Source organism: Homo sapiens, chromosome 10, assembly GCF_000001405.40.
Source record: "Homo sapiens chromosome 10, GRCh38.p14 Primary Assembly".
NCBI lineage: Eukaryota > Metazoa > Chordata > Mammalia > Primates > Hominidae > Homo > Homo sapiens.
The window spans coordinates 133,740,467-133,755,243 of record NC_000010.11 but is presented as its reverse complement, the minus strand read 5'-3'; the positions used below and the strand labels follow the sequence as shown (position 1 = coordinate 133,755,243).

General features: G+C 72.5%; 5 pseudogenes, besides 2 other annotated features; all 5 read right to left on the bottom strand.

Annotated features, from left to right (window-relative positions):
• Positions 718-1,996, bottom strand: DUX4L13 (double homeobox 4 like 13 (pseudogene); annotated as a pseudogene).
• Positions 837-1,336: an enhancer, noted in NCBI's record as "H3K4me1 hESC enhancer chr10:135491233-135491732 (GRCh37/hg19 assembly coordinates)". NCBI's record gives its function as "activates a minimal SCP1, AML or CMV promoter by ChIP-STARR-seq in primed H9 embryonic stem cells {active_cell/tissue: H9 hESC(primed)}" and the evidence as "EXISTENCE:reporter gene assay evidence [ECO:0000049][PMID:30033119]".
• Positions 1,337-1,838: an enhancer, noted in NCBI's record as "H3K4me1 hESC enhancer chr10:135490731-135491232 (GRCh37/hg19 assembly coordinates)". NCBI's record gives its function as "activates a minimal SCP1, AML or CMV promoter by ChIP-STARR-seq in naive and primed H9 embryonic stem cells {active_cell/tissue: H9 hESC(naive and primed)}" and the evidence as "EXISTENCE:reporter gene assay evidence [ECO:0000049][PMID:30033119]".
• On the bottom strand, positions 4,017-5,295 carry DUX4L12 (double homeobox 4 like 12 (pseudogene); annotated as a pseudogene).
• DUX4L11 (double homeobox 4 like 11 (pseudogene)) lies at positions 7,326-8,604 on the bottom strand (annotated as a pseudogene).
• DUX4L10 (double homeobox 4 like 10 (pseudogene)) lies at positions 10,636-11,914 on the bottom strand (annotated as a pseudogene).
• DUX4L29 (double homeobox 4 like 29 (pseudogene)) lies at positions 13,960-14,638 on the bottom strand (annotated as a pseudogene).

Here is a 14,777-nt window from a genome sequence, read left to right as displayed (position 1 = left end):
GTTCCTCCCTGCCTCCCTGCCTCCCTGCCTCCCTCCCTCCCTCCTAACGTCCCTCCGCCCATCCTTCCGCCCCTCTAGGTCTCCCGTTCCTCTCTCCATCTCTGCCCGCCTTCCCTCCCGCCTGGAACGCTCAGCGTCCCCGGTGTGCGCCGGGCCTGGGGTCTGCGTTCCGCCGCCAGGCGCTCCGTGCTGGCACCTGGGCGGCTGCAGGGGCCCGGGCGGGCGGGCGACGGTGGCGCGGGGGCGCAGAGGAGGCGAGCCGCCGGAGCGGTGTCAGGCCCGGACGCTGCGCGGGGCCCGGTGTTTCGCGGGACGGGGGTCTCCACCCAGCCCAGGGGACGACGCGTTTTCCGGGGGCGGGGGGTGGGGGTGGGGAGGGGGCGGTCAGGCGGCGGGGTGGGCTGGTGGAGAGGCAGGAGAGCTCTGCCCGGGCTGCTCCCACAGCCCAGGCGGCTGCCCGCAAACCCGCGCGTGCGCAGTAGGCGGCCCACCTGCTGGTACCTGGGCCGGCTCTGGGATCCCCGGGATGCCCAGGAAAGAATGGCAGTTCTCCGCTGTGTGGAGTCTCTCACCGGGCCTAGGCCTAGAAGGCAGGAATCCCAGGCCGGTCAGCCCGGTGGAGGGGGCGGGGCGGAGACACGCCCCTCCGTAGCCAGCCAGGCGTTCCCCGCGAAAGAGAGGCCACCGCCCTGCCCCGAACCACCCGACCCCGTCCCAACCCCGCGTCCTAAAGCTCCTCCAGCAGAGCCCGGTATTCTTCCTCGCTGAGGGGTGCTTCCAGCGAGGCGGCCTCTTCCGAGGCCTCCAGCTCCCCCGGGGCCTCCGTTTCTAGGAGAGGTTGCGCCTGCTGCAGAAACTCCGGGCTCGCCAGGAGCTCATCCAGCAGCAGGCCGCAGGGGAGTGCAGACCAGGGCGCCGGCTCCTGGAGCGCCTGGGAGGGCGCCGGGATGCCTTGCATCTGCCCCTGCCGCGCGGAGGCGTCCGGGGGCGCGGGCTGGGGAGGTGGAGCTGCCCCGGCTTGGGGTTCCCACGCCGCCCCGGCGACCTGGGGACCCCGGCCCCAGCCCCACCACGGACTCCCCTGGGACGTGGGTGGCGCAAGCACCCCTTGGCCCTGCGGCCCCGCTTGAGCGGGCCCAGGCTGTGCCACCGCGCAGGGGCCCGGCAGGCCGTCGCGCTGCGGGTCCCGGTCCTCCCGGCTTTTGCCCGGGTGCGGAGGCCACCGAGGAGCCTGAGGGTGGGAGAGCGCCCCGTCCGGAGGAGCCGGGGCGGCGTAGGCGAAATCCCCGCGCGCCGGGGCAGGTTGGGAGATCCCCTCTGCCGGCGCGGCCTGGCTGGGCTGCAGCGCGGGGGCGGCCCTCGCTGCCTGGCTCACGAAAGCCCCCTGTGGGAGAGCCCCAGGCGCGCAGGGCACGTGGGGTGCGGGAAGCCCCGTTCCCCACGCGCCGGTGTGGGCGAAGGCGACCCACGAGGGAGCAGGGTGACCCCCGCCGGGGGCCGCGTTGCACAGGCCGCCTGCCTGCGCGGGCGCCCTGCCACCCTGTCCCGGGTGCCTGGCCCTTCGATTCTGAAACCAGATCTGAATCCTGGACTCCGGGAGGCCCGTCTCTCTGGCCAGCTCCTCCCGGGCGGCGATGCCTGGAAAGCGATCCTTCTCAAAGGCTCGGAGGAGCAGGGCGGTCTGGGATCCGGTGACGGCGGTCCGCTTTCGCCGGCCTTCTGGCGGGCCGCGTCTCCCGGGCCAGGGCCGAGATTCCCGCCGGTGCTGCCTCAGCTGGCGTGACCTCTCATTCTGAAACCAAATCTGGACCCTGGGCTCCGGAATGCCGATGGCCTGGGCCAGCCGTTCTCTGGTGGCGATGCCCGGGTACGGGTTCCGCTCAAAGCAGGCTCGCAGGGCCTCGCTTTGGCTCGGGGTCCAAACGAGTCTCCGTCGCCGTCCTCGTCCCCGGGCTTCCGCGGGGAGGGTGCTGTCCGAAGGTGTCGGGAGGGCCATCGCGGTGAGCCCCGGCCGCAATTTCACGGACGGACGCGGGCAGAGAGAGGCCGGCGGGCTCCCGTGCACCTCAGCCGGACTGTGCACTGCGGCAGGTGCAGCCAGGAGGCCTGCCCGGACAGCCAGCCAGCCAGCCAGCCGCCCTTGTAAAGGCCCACGGGCAGGCAGGCTCCACCCCTTCATGAATGGCGGTGAGCCCCCCTGGGACAGCCCGCCCCACCCCGGAAGGGACCCAGGGCGTCGAGGCCTGGGGCCGGCCGGCGGGGTGGTGGTGGTGGTGGTGGTGGGGGGGGGGTGGTGGTGGGGGAGGGCGTGGTGGCGGTGGTGGTGGTGGGGCCGGAGAGACGAAGAGGAAGGTGGAGAGGGGGGAGGGGGGAGGGGGGCGCGTTTCGGGGGCCGGCTCTCCGGACCTCTCCAGGGATCCCGCGGGAACGGGAAGCCGCTCTCTGGGCTCCCACGCGTCGGCAGCAGGGAGAAACCAGCCTGGGAGGGTGGAGGGGAGTGTGGAACTGAACCTCCGTGGGAGTCTTGAGTGTGCCAGGCCCTCTCTCCGTGAAGGAGGCAATGCCTGTGGGCGTCGCCGTTGCCGGGACGGTCTCGCACACGCAGGCGTGTGGCTCTCGTTCATTTCCACGTAGAAGACCAGAGCGAGACCCCAGAGAGGAGATGCCTCCCCGGCGTGATGGCCTGACGATGGATTCCCGCGTGCGGCAACGTGGGGAGTCTGCAGTGTGGCCGGTTTGGAACCTGGCAAGGAGAGCGAAGGCACCGTGCCGGGCTTGCACCCTCCCCTGCATGTTTCCGGGTGCCCGCAGAGCTCCGGGAGCAAACAGTCGGCATGGCCAGCCTTTCGGGGGCCGGAGAGACGTGAGCAACAGGCCGCCTTGCAGAGGGCAAAGCCACGCGGAAACCAAAATCACGCCTCCGTCGTCCTGCGTGTGGCTCCTCCGTGGCCGGGGCTGTCGGCCTCGCGCCGCGTTGCAGGGCTCAGCCTGGGGATGTGCGGTCTGTGAACCGCGCGGGTGAAAACCCGACGGCAACCCGAGTCCCGGTCTTTTGTCCCGGAGGAAACCGCCCACTCCCTGGGCCCCGGAACCGGGGCGAATGGGTGGTGCCCCGCCGGCCGGCGCGGCGGCTGTGGGCCCAGCCCTCAGCCCGCGCCGGACGCTGACCGTTTTCCCGGAGGGCGGGGGTCCCGCTACTCCCGGAGGCCGAAGACCGCTTTTCCTCCCTGCCTTCCTCCCCCCGTCCCCGGCTCCCTCCCGCCCGCCCCCAGTCCCTGCGTCGCTCTGTCTTTCCCTCCGTTCCTCCCTGCCTCCCTGCCTCCCTGCCTCCCTCCCTCCCTCCTAACGTCCCTCCGCCCATCCTTCCGCCCCTCTAGGTCTCCCGTTCCTCTCTCCATCTCTGCCCGCCTTCCCTCCCGCCTGGAACGCTCAGCGTCCCCGGTGTGCGCCGGGCCTGGGGTCTGCGTTCCGCCTCCAGGCGCTCCGTGCTGGCACCTGGGCGGCTGCAGGGGCCCGGGCGGGCGGGCCACGGTGGCGCGGGGGCGCAGAGGAGGCGAGCCGCCGGAGCGGTGTCAGGCCCGGACGCTGCGCGGGGCCCGGTGTTTCGCGGGACGGGGGTCTCCACCCAGCCCAGGGGACGACGCGTTTTCCGGGGGCGGGGGGTGGGGGTGGGGAGGGGGCGGTCAGGCGGTGGGGTGGGCTGGTGGAGAGGCAGGAGAGCTCTGCCCGGGCTGCTCCCACAGCCCAGGCGGCTGCCCGCAAACCCGCGCGTGCGCAGTAGGCGGCCCACCTGCTGGTACCTGGGCCGGCTCTGGGATCCCCGGGATGCCCAGGAAAGAATGGCAGTTCTCCGCTGTGTGGAGTCTCTCACCGGGCCTAGGCCTAGAAGGCAGGAATCCCAGGCCGGTCAGCCCGGTGGAGGGGGCGGGGCGGAGACACGCCCCTCCGTAGCCAGCCAGGCGTTCCCCGCGAAAGAGAGGCCACCGCCCTGCCCCGAACCACCCGACCCCGTCCCAACCCCGCGTCCTAAAGCTCCTCCAGCAGAGCCCGGTATTCTTCCTCGCTGAGGGGTGCTTCCAGCGAGGCGGCCTCTTCCGAGGCCTCCAGCTCCCCCGGGGCCTCCGTTTCTAGGAGAGGTTGCGCCTGCTGCAGAAACTCCGGGCTCGCCAGGAGCTCATCCAGCAGCAGGCCGCAGGGGAGTGCAGACCAGGGCGCCGGCTCCTGGAGCGCCTGGGAGGGCGCCGGGATGCCTTGCATCTGCCCCTGCCGCGCGGAGGCGTCCGGGGGCGCGGGCTGGGGAGGTGGAGCTGCCCCGGCTTGGGGTTCCCACGCCGCCCCGGCGACCTGGGGACCCCGGCCCCAGCCCCACCACGGACTCCCCTGGGACGTGGGTGGCGCAAGCACCCCTTGGCCCTGCGGCCCCGCTTGAGCGGGCCCAGGCTGTGCCACCGCGCAGGGGCCCGGCAGGCCGTCGCGCTGCGGGTCCCGGTCCTCCCGGCTTTTGCCCGGGTGCGGAGGCCACCGAGGAGCCTGAGGGTGGGAGAGCGCCCCGTCCGGAGGAGCCGGGGCGGCGTAGGCGAAATCCCCGCGCGCCGGGGCAGGTTGGGAGATCCCCTCTGCCGGCGCGGCCTGGCTGGGCTGCAGCGCGGGGGCGGCCCTCGCTGCCTGGCTCACGAAAGCCCCCTGTGGGAGAGCCCCAGGCGCGCAGGGCACGTGGGGTGCGGGAAGCCCCGTTCCCCACGCGCCGGTGTGGGCGAAGGCGACCCACGAGGGAGCAGGGTGACCCCCGCCGGGGGCCGCGCTGCACAGGCCGCCTGCCTGCGCGGGCGCCCTGCCACCCTGTCCCGGGTGCCTGGCCCTTCGATTCTGAAACCAGATCTGAATCCTGGACTCCGGGAGGCCCGTCTCTCTGGCCAGCTCCTCCCGGGCGGCGATGCCTGGAAAGCGATCCTTCTCAAAGGCTCGGAGGAGCAGGGCGGTCTGGAATCCGGTGACGGCGGTCCGCTTTCGCCGGCCTTCTGGCGGGCCGCGTCTCCCGGGCCAGGGCCGAGATTCCCGCCGGTGCTGCCTCAGCTGGCGTGACCTCTCATTCTGAAACCAAATCTGGACCCTGGGCTCCGGAATGCCGATGGCCTGGGCCAGCCGTTCTCTGGTGGCGATGCCCGGGTACGGGTTCCGCTCAAAGCAGGCTCGCAGGGCCTCGCTTTGGCTCGGGGTCCAAACGAGTCTCCGTCGCCGTCCTCGTCCCCGGGCTTCCGCGGGGAGGGTGCTGTCCGAAGGTGTCGGGAGGGCCATCGCGGTGAGCCCCGGCCGCAATTTCACGGACGGACGCGGGCAGAGAGAGGCCGGCGGGCTCCCGTGCACCTCAGCCGGACTGTGCACTGCGGCAGGTGCAGCCAGGAGGCCTGCCCGGACAGCCAGCCAGCCAGCCAGCCGCCCTTGTAAAGGCCCACGGGCAGGCAGGCTCCACCCCTTCATGAATGGCGGTGAGCCCCCCTGGGACAGCCCGCCCCACCCCGGAAGGGACCCAGGGCGTCGAGGCCTGGGGCCGGCCGGCGGGGTGGTGGTGGTGGTGGTGGTGGTGGTGGTGTGGGGTGGGGGGGGTGGTGGGGGAGGGCGTGGTGGCGGTGGTGGTGGTGGGGCCGGAGAGACGAAGAGGAAGGGGGAGAGGGGGGAGGGGGGAGGGGGGCGCGTTTCGGGGGCCGGCTCTCCGGACCTCTCCAGGGATCCCGCGGGAACGGGAAGCCGCTCTCTGGGCTCCCACGCGTCGGCAGCAGGGAGAAACCAGCCTGGGAGGGTGGAGGGGAGTGTGGAACTGAACCTCCGTGGGAGTCTTGAGTGTGCCAGGCCCTCTCTCCGTGAAGGAGGCAATGCCTGTGGGCGTCGCCGTTGCCGGGACGGTCTCGCACACGCAGGCGTGTGGCTCTCGTTCATTTCCACGTAGAAGACCAGAGCGAGACCCCAGAGAGGAGATGCCTCCCCGGCGTGATGGCCTGACGATGGATTCCCGCGTGCGGCAACGTGGGGAGTCTGCAGTGTGGCCGGTTTGGAACCTGGCAAGGAGAGCGAAGGCACCGTGCCGGGCTTGCACCCTCCCCTGCATGTTTCCGGGTGCCCGCAGAGCTCCGGGAGCAAACAGTCGGCATGGCCAGCCTTTCGGGGGCCGGAGAGACGTGAGCAACAGGCCGCCTTGCAGAGGGCAAAGCCACGCGGAAACCAAAATCACGCCTCCGTCGTCCTGCGTGTGGCTCCTCCGTGGCCGGGGCTGTCGGCCTCGCGCCGCGTTGCAGGGCTCAGCCTGGGGATGTGCGGTCTGTGAACCGCGCGGGTGAAAACCCGACGGCAACCCGAGTCCCGGTCTTTTGTCCCGGAGGAAACCGCCCACTCCCTGGGCCCCGGAACCGGGGCGAATGGGTGGTGCCCCGCCGGCCGGCGCGGCGGCTGTGGGCCCAGCCCTCAGCCCGCGCCGGACGCTGACCGTTTTCCCGGAGGGCGGGGGTCCCGCTACTCCCGGAGGCCGAAGACCGCTTTTCCTCCCTGCCTTCCTCCCCCCGTCCCCGGCTCCCTCCCGCCCGCCCCCAGTCCCTGCGTCGCTCTGTCTTTCCCTCCGTTCCTCCCTGCCTCCCTGCCTCCCTGCCTCCCTCCCTCCCTCCTAACGTCCCTCCGCCCATCCTTCCGCCCCTCTAGGTCTCCCGTTCCTCTCTCCATCTCTGCCCGCCTTCCCTCCCGCCTGGAACGCTCAGCGTCCCCGGTGTGCGCCGGGCCTGGGGTCTGCGTTCCGCCGCCAGGCGCTCCGTGCTGGCACTGGGCGGCTGCAGGGGCCCGGGCGGGCGGGCGACGGTGGCGCGGGGGCGCAGAGGAGGCGAGCCGCCGGAGCGGTGTCAGGCCCGGACGCTGCGCGGGGCCCGGTGTTTCGCGGGACGGGGGTCTCCACCCAGCCCAGGGGACGACGCGTTTTCCGGGGGCGGGGGGTGGGGGTGGGGAGGGGGCGGTCAGGCGGCGGGGTGGGCTGGTGGAGAGGCAGGAGAGCTCTGCCCGGGCTGCTCCCACAGCCCAGGCGGCTGCCCGCAAACCCGCGCGTGCGCAGTAGGCGGCCCACCTGCTGGTACCTGGGCCGGCTCTGGGATCCCCGGGATGCCCAGGAAAGAATGGCAGTTCTCCGCTGTGTGGAGTCTCTCACCGGGCCTAGGCCTAGAAGGCAGGAATCCCAGGCCGGTCAGCCCGGTGGAGGGGGCGGGGCGGAGACACGCCCCTCCGTAGCCAGCCAGGCGTTCCCCGCGAAAGAGAGGCCACCGCCCTGCCCCGAACCACCCGACCCCGTCCCAACCCCGCGTCCTAAAGCTCCTCCAGCAGAGCCCGGTATTCTTCCTCGCTGAGGGGTGCTTCCAGCGAGGCGGCCTCTTCCGAGGCCTCCAGCTCCCCCGGGGCCTCCGTTTCTAGGAGAGGTTGCGCCTGCTGCAGAAACTCCGGGCTCGCCAGGAGCTCATCCAGCAGCAGGCCGCAGGGGAGTGCAGACCAGGGCGCCGGCTCCTGGAGCGCCTGGGAGGGCGCCGGGATGCCTTGCATCTGCCCCTGCCGCGCGGAGGCGTCCGGGGGCGCGGGCTGGGGAGGTGGAGCTGCCCCGGCTTGGGGTTCCCACGCCGCCCCGGCGACCTGGGGACCCCGGCCCCAGCCCCACCACGGACTCCCCTGGGACGTGGGTGGCGCAAGCACCCCTTGGCCCTGCGGCCCCGCTTGAGCGGGCCCAGGCTGTGCCACCGCGCAGGGGCCCGGCAGGCCGTCGCGCTGCGGGTCCCGGTCCTCCCGGCTTTTGCCCGGGTGCGGAGGCCACCGAGGAGCCTGAGGGTGGGAGAGCGCCCCGTCCGGAGGAGCCGGGGCGGCGTAGGCGAAATCCCCGCGCGCCGGGGCAGGTTGGGAGATCCCCTCTGCCGGCGCGGCCTGGCTGGGCTGCAGCGCGGGGGCGGCCCTCGCTGCCTGGCTCACGAAAGCCCCCTGTGGGAGAGCCCCAGGCGCGCAGGGCACGTGGGGTGCGGGAAGCCCCGTTCCCCACGCGCCGGTGTGGGCGAAGGCGACCCACGAGGGAGCAGGGTGACCCCCGCCGGGGGCCGCGCTGCACAGGCCGCCTGCCTGCGCGGGCGCCCTGCCACCCTGTCCCGGGTGCCTGGCCCTTCGATTCTGAAACCAGATCTGAATCCTGGACTCCGGGAGGCCCGTCTCTCTGGCCAGCTCCTCCCGGGCGGCGATGCCTGGAAAGCGATCCTTCTCAAAGGCTCGGAGGAGCAGGGCGGTCTGGGATCCGGTGACGGCGGTCCGCTTTCGCCGGCCTTCTGGCGGGCCGCGTCTCCCGGGCCAGGGCCGAGATTCCCGCCGGTGCTGCCTCAGCTGGCGTGACCTCTCATTCTGAAACCAAATCTGGACCCTGGGCTCCGGAATGCCGATGGCCTGGGCCAGCCGTTCTCTGGTGGCGATGCCCGGGTACGGGTTCCGCTCAAAGCAGGCTCGCAGGGCCTCGCTTTGGCTCGGGGTCCAAACGAGTCTCCGTCGCCGTCCTCGTCCCCGGGCTTCCGCGGGGAGGGTGCTGTCCGAAGGTGTCGGGAGGGCCATCGCGGTGAGCCCCGGCCGCAATTTCACGGACGGACGCGGGCAGAGAGAGGCCGGCGGGCTCCCGTGCACCTCAGCCGGACTGTGCACTGCGGCAGGTGCAGCCAGGAGGCCTGCCCGGACAGCCAGCCAGCCAGCCAGCCGCCCTTGTAAAGGCCCACGGGCAGGCAGGCTCCACCCCTTCATGAATGGCGGTGAGCCCCCCTGGGACAGCCCGCCCCACCCCGGAAGGGACCCAGGGCGTCGAGGCCTGGGGCCGGCCGGCGGGGTGGTGGTGGTGGTGGTGGTGGTGGTGGTGTGGGGTGGGGGGGGTGGTGGGGGAGGGCGTGGTGGCGGTGGTGGTGGTGGGGCCGGAGAGACGAAGAGGAAGGGGGAGAGGGGGGAGGGGGGAGGGGGGCGCGTTTCGGGGGCCGGCTCTCCGGACCTCTCCAGGGATCCCGCGGGAACGGGAAGCCGCTCTCTGGGCTCCCACGCGTCGGCAGCAGGGAGAAACCAGCCTGGGAGGGTGGAGGGGAGTGTGGAACTGAACCTCCGTGGGAGTCTTGAGTGTGCCAGGCCCTCTCTCCGTGAAGGAGGCAATGCCTGTGGGCGTCGCCGTTGCCGGGACGGTCTCGCACACGCAGGCGTGTGGCTCTCGTTCATTTCCACGTAGAAGACCAGAGCGAGACCCCAGAGAGGAGATGCCTCCCCGGCGTGATGGCCTGACGATGGATTCCCGCGTGCGGCAACGTGGGGAGTCTGCAGTGTGGCCGGTTTGGAACCTGGCAAGGAGAGCGAAGGCACCGTGCCGGGCTTGCACCCTCCCCTGCATGTTTCCGGGTGCCCGCAGAGCTCCGGGAGCAAACAGTCGGCATGGCCAGCCTTTCGGGGGCCGGAGAGACGTGAGCAACAGGCCGCCTTGCAGAGGGCAAAGCCACGCGGAAACCAAAATCACGCCTCCGTCGTCCTGCGTGTGGCTCCTCCGTGGCCGGGGCTGTCGGCCTCGCGCCGCGTTGCAGGGCTCAGCCTGGGGATGTGCGGTCTGTGAACCGCGCGGGTGAAAACCCGACGGCAACCCGAGTCCCGGTCTTTTGTCCCGGAGGAAACCGCCCACTCCCTGGGCCCCGGAACCGGGGCGAATGGGTGGTGCCCCGCCGGCCGGCGCGGCGGCTGTGGGCCCAGCCCTCAGCCCGCGCCGGACGCTGACCGTTTTCCCGGAGGGCGGGGGTCCCGCTACTCCCGGAGGCCGAAGACCGCTTTTCCTCCCTGCCTTCCTCCCCCCGTCCCCGGCTCCCTCCCGCCCGCCCCCAGTCCCTGCGTCGCTCTGTCTTTCCCTCCGTTCCTCCCTGCCTCCCTGCCTCCCTGCCTCCCTCCCTCCCTCCTAACGTCCCTCCGCCCATCCTTCCGCCCCTCTAGGTCTCCCGTTCCTCTCTCCATCTCTGCCCGCCTTCCCTCCCGCCTGGAACGCTCAGCGTCCCCGGTGTGCGCCGGGCCTGGGGTCTGCGTTCCGCCTCCAGGCGCTCCGTGCTGGCACCTGGGCGGCTGCAGGGGCCCGGGCGGGCGGGCCACGGTGGCGCGGGGGCGCAGAGGAGGCGAGCCGCCGGAGCGGTGTCAGGCCCGGACGCTGCGCGGGGCCCGGTGTTTCGCGGGACGGGGGTCTCCACCCAGCCCAGGGGACGACGCGTTTTCCGGGGGCGGGGGGTGGGGGTGGGGAGGGGGCGGTCAGGCGGCGGGGTGGGCTGGTGGAGAGGCAGGAGAGCTCTGCCCGGGCTGCTCCCACAGCCCAGGCGGCTGCCCGCAAACCCGCGCGTGCGCAGTAGGCGGCCCACCTGCTGGTACCTGGGCCGGCTCTGGGATCCCCGGGATGCCCAGGAAAGAATGGCAGTTCTCCGCTGTGTGGAGTCTCTCACCGGGCCTAGGCCTAGAAGGCAGGAATCCCAGGCCGGTCAGCCCGGTGGAGGGGGCGGGGCGGAGACACGCCCCTCCGTAGCCAGCCAGGCGTTCCCCGCGAAAGAGAGGCCACCGCCCTGCCCCGAACCACCCGACCCCGTCCCAACCCCGCGTCCTAAAGCTCCTCCAGCAGAGCCCGGTATTCTTCCTCGCTGAGGGGTGCTTCCAGCGAGGCGGCCTCTTCCGAGGCCTCCAGCTCCCCCGGGGCCTCCGTTTCTAGGAGAGGTTGCGCCTGCTGCAGAAACTCCGGGCTCGCCAGGAGCTCATCCAGCAGCAGGCCGCAGGGGAGTGCAGACCAGGGCGCCGGCTCCTGGAGCGCCTGGGAGGGCGCCGGGATGCCTTGCATCTGCCCCTGCCGCGCGGAGGCGTCCGGGGGCGCGGGCTGGGGAGGTGGAGCTGCCCCGGCTTGGGGTTCCCACGCCGCCCCGGCGACCTGGGGACCCCGGCCCCAGCCCCACCACGGACTCCCCTGGGACGTGGGTGGCGCAAGCACCCCTTGGCCCTGCGGCCCCGCTTGAGCGGGCCCAGGCTGTGCCACCGCGCAGGGGCCCGGCAGGCCGTCGCGCTGCGGGTCCCGGTCCTCCCGGCTTTTGCCCGGGTGCGGAGGCCACCGAGGAGCCTGAGGGTGGGAGAGCGCCCCGTCCGGAGGAGCCGGGGCGGCGTAGGCGAAATCCCCGCGCGCCGGGGCAGGTTGGGAGATCCCCTCTGCCGGCGCGGCCTGGCTGGGCTGCAGCGCGGGGGCGGCCCTCGCTGCCTGGCTCACGAAAGCCCCCTGTGGGAGAGCCCCAGGCGCGCAGGGCACGTGGGGTGCGGGAAGCCCCGTTCCCCACGCGCCGGTGTGGGCGAAGGCGACCCACGAGGGAGCAGGGTGACCCCCGCCGGGGGCCGCGCTGCACAGGCCGCCTGCCTGCGCGGGCGCCCTGCCACCCTGTCCCGGGTGCCTGGCCCTTCGATTCTGAAACCAGATCTGAATCCTGGACTCCGGGAGGCCCGTCTCTCTGGCCAGCTCCTCCCGGGCGGCGATGCCTGGAAAGCGATCCTTCTCAAAGGCTCGGAGGAGCAGGGCGGTCTGGGATCCGGTGACGGCGGTCCGCTTTCGCCGGCCTTCTGGCGGGCCGCGTCTCCCGGGCCAGGGCCGAGATTCCCGCCGGTGCTGCCTCAGCTGGCGTGACCTCTCATTCTGAAACCAAATCTGGACCCTGGGCTCCGGAATGCCGATGGCCTGGGCCAGCCGTTCTCTGGTGGCGATGCCCGGGTACGGGTTCCGCTCAAAGCAGGCTCGCAGGGCCTCGCTTTGGCTCGGGGTCCAAACGAGTCTCCGTCGCCGTCCTCGTCCCCGGGCTTCCGCGGGGAGGGTGCTGTCCGAAGGTGTCGGGAGGGCCATCGCGGTGAGCCCCGGCCGCAATTTCACGGACGGACGCGGGCAGAGAGAGGCCGGCGGGCTCCCGTGCACCTCAGCCGGACTGTGCACTGCGGCAGGTGCAGCCAGGAGGCCTGCCCGGACAGCCAGCCAGCCAGCCAGCCGCCCTTGTAAAGGCCCACGGGCAGGCAGGCTCCACCCCTTCATGAATGGCGGTGAGCCCCCCTGGGACAGCCCGCCCCACCCCGGAAGGGACCCAGGGCGTCGAGGCCTGGGGCCGGCCGGCGGGGTGGTGGTGGTGGTGGTGGTGGTGGTGGTGTGGGGTGGGGGGGGTGGTGGGGGAGGGCGTGGTGGCGGTGGTGGTGGTGGGGCCGGAGAGACGAAGAGGAAGGGGGAGAGGGGGGAGGGGGGAGGGGGGCGCGTTTCGGGGGCCGGCTCTCCGGACCTCTCCAGGGATCCCGCGGGAACGGGAAGCCGCTCTCTGGGCTCCCACGCGTCGGCAGCAGGGAGAAACCAGCCTGGGAGGGTGGAGGGGAGTGTGGAACTGAACCTCCGTGGGAGTCTTGAGTGTGCCAGGCCCTCTCTCCGTGAAGGAGGCAATGCCTGTGGGCGTCGCCGTTGCCGGGACGGTCTCGCACACGCAGGCGTGTGGCTCTCGTTCATTTCCACGTAGAAGACCAGAGCGAGACCCCAGAGAGGAGATGCCTCCCCGGCGTGATGGCCTGACGATGGATTCCCGCGTGCGGCAACGTGGGGAGTCTGCAGTGTGGCCGGTTTGGAACCTGGCAAGGAGAGCGAAGGCACCGTGCCGGGCTTGCACCCTCCCCTGCATGTTTCCGGGTGCCCGCAGAGCTCCGGGAGCAAACAGTCGGCATGGCCAGCCTTTCGGGGGCCGGAGAGACGTGAGCAACAGGCCGCCTTGCAGAGGGCAAAGCCACGCGGAAACCAAAATCACGCCTCCGTCGTCCTGCGTGTGGCTCCTCCGTGGCCGGGGCTGTCGGCCTCGCGCCGCGTTGCAGGGCTCAGCCTGGGGATGTGCGGTCTGTGAACCGCGCGGGTGAAAACCCGACGGCAACCCGAGTCCCGGTCTTTTGTCCCGGAGGAAACCGCCCACTCCCTGGGCCCCGGAACCGGGGCGAATGGGTGGTGCCCCGCCGGCCGGCGCGGCGGCTGTGGGCCCAGCCCTCAGCCCGCGCCGGACGCTGACCGTTTTCCCGGAGGGCGGGGGTCCCGCTACTCCCGGAGGCCGAAGACCGCTTTTCCTCCCTGCCTTCCTCCCCCCGTCCCCGGCTCCCTCCCGCCCGCCCCCAGTCCCTGCGTCGCTCTGTCTTTCCCTCCGTTCCTCCCTGCCTCCCTGCCTCCCTGCCTCCCTCCCTCCCTCCTAACGTCCCTCCGCCCATCCTTCCGCCCCTCTAGGTCTCCCGTTCCTCTCTCCATCTCTGCCCGCCTTCCCTCCCGCCTGGAACGCTCAGCGTCCCCGGTGTGCGCCGGGCCTGGGGTCTGCGTTCCGCCGCCAGGCGCTCCGTGCTGGCACCTGGGCGGCTGCAGGGGCCCGGGCGGGCGGGCGACGGTGGCGCGGGGGCGCAGAGGAGGCGAGCCGCCGGAGCGGTGTCAGGCCCGGACGCTGCGCGGGGCCCGGTGTTTCGCGGGACGGGGGTCTCCACCCAGCCCAGGGGACGACGCGTTTTCCGGGGGCGGGGGGTGGGGGTGGGGAGGGGGCGGTCAGGCGGCGGGGTGGGCTGGTGGAGAGGCAGGAGAGCTCTGCCCGGGCTGCTCCCACAGCCCAGGCGGCTGCCCGCAAACCCGCGCGTGCGCAGTAGGCGGCCCACCTGCTGGTACCTGGGCCGGCTCTGGGATCCCCGGGATGCCCAGGAAAGAATGGCAGTTCTCCGCTGTGTGGAGTCTCTCACCGGGCCTAGGCCTAGAAGGCAGGAATCCCAGGCCGGTCAGCCCGGTGGAGGGGGCGGGGCGGAGACACGCCCCTCCGTAGCCAGCCAGGCGTTCCCCGCGAAAGAGAGGCCACCGCCCTGCCCCGAACCACCCGACCCCGTCCCAACCCCGCGTCCTAAAGCTCCTCCAGCAGAGCCCGGTATTCTTCCTCGCTGAGGGGTGCTTCCAGCGAGGCGGCCTCTTCCGAGGCCTCCAGCTCCCCCGGGGCCTCCGTTTCTAGGAGAGGTTGCGCCTGCTGCAGAAACTCCGGGCTCGCCAGGAGCTCATCCAGCAGCAGGCCGCAGGGGAGTGCAGACCAGGGCGCCGGCTCCTGGAGCGCCTGGGAGGGCGCCGGGATGCCTTGCATCTGCCCCTGCCGCGCGGAGGCGTCCGGGGGCGCGGGCTGGGGAGGTGGAGCTGCCCCGGCTTGGGGTTCCCACGCCGCCCCGGCGACCTGGGGACCCCGGCCCCAGCCCCACCACGGACTCCCCTGGGACGTGGGTGGCGCAAGCACCCCTTGGCCCTGCGGCCCCGCTTGAGCGGGCCCAGGCTGTGCCACCGCGCAGGGGCCCGGCAGGCCGTCGCGCTGCGGGTCCCGGTCCTCCCGGCTTTTGCCCGGGTGCGGAGGCCACCGAGGAGCCTGAGGGTGGGAGAGCGCCCCGTCCGGAGGAGCCGGGGCGGCGTAGGCGAAATCCCCGCGCGCCGGGGCAGGTTGGGAGATCCCCTCTGCCGGCGCGGCCTGGCTGGGCTGCAGCGCGGGGGCGGCCCTCGCTGCCTGGCTCACGAAAGCCCCCTGTGGGAGAGCCCCAGGCGCGCGCATCCCAATGTCTCCCCATCTCCCCTCACACACTGCTGACTTGAGGCACAATAGATTTATAAAAAATGGCCTGACAAGGGTCTCCAGAAGTGTGCACAGATTTTCCCAGATCCCCAAAAGCAATGCCAAACTAGTCAGATC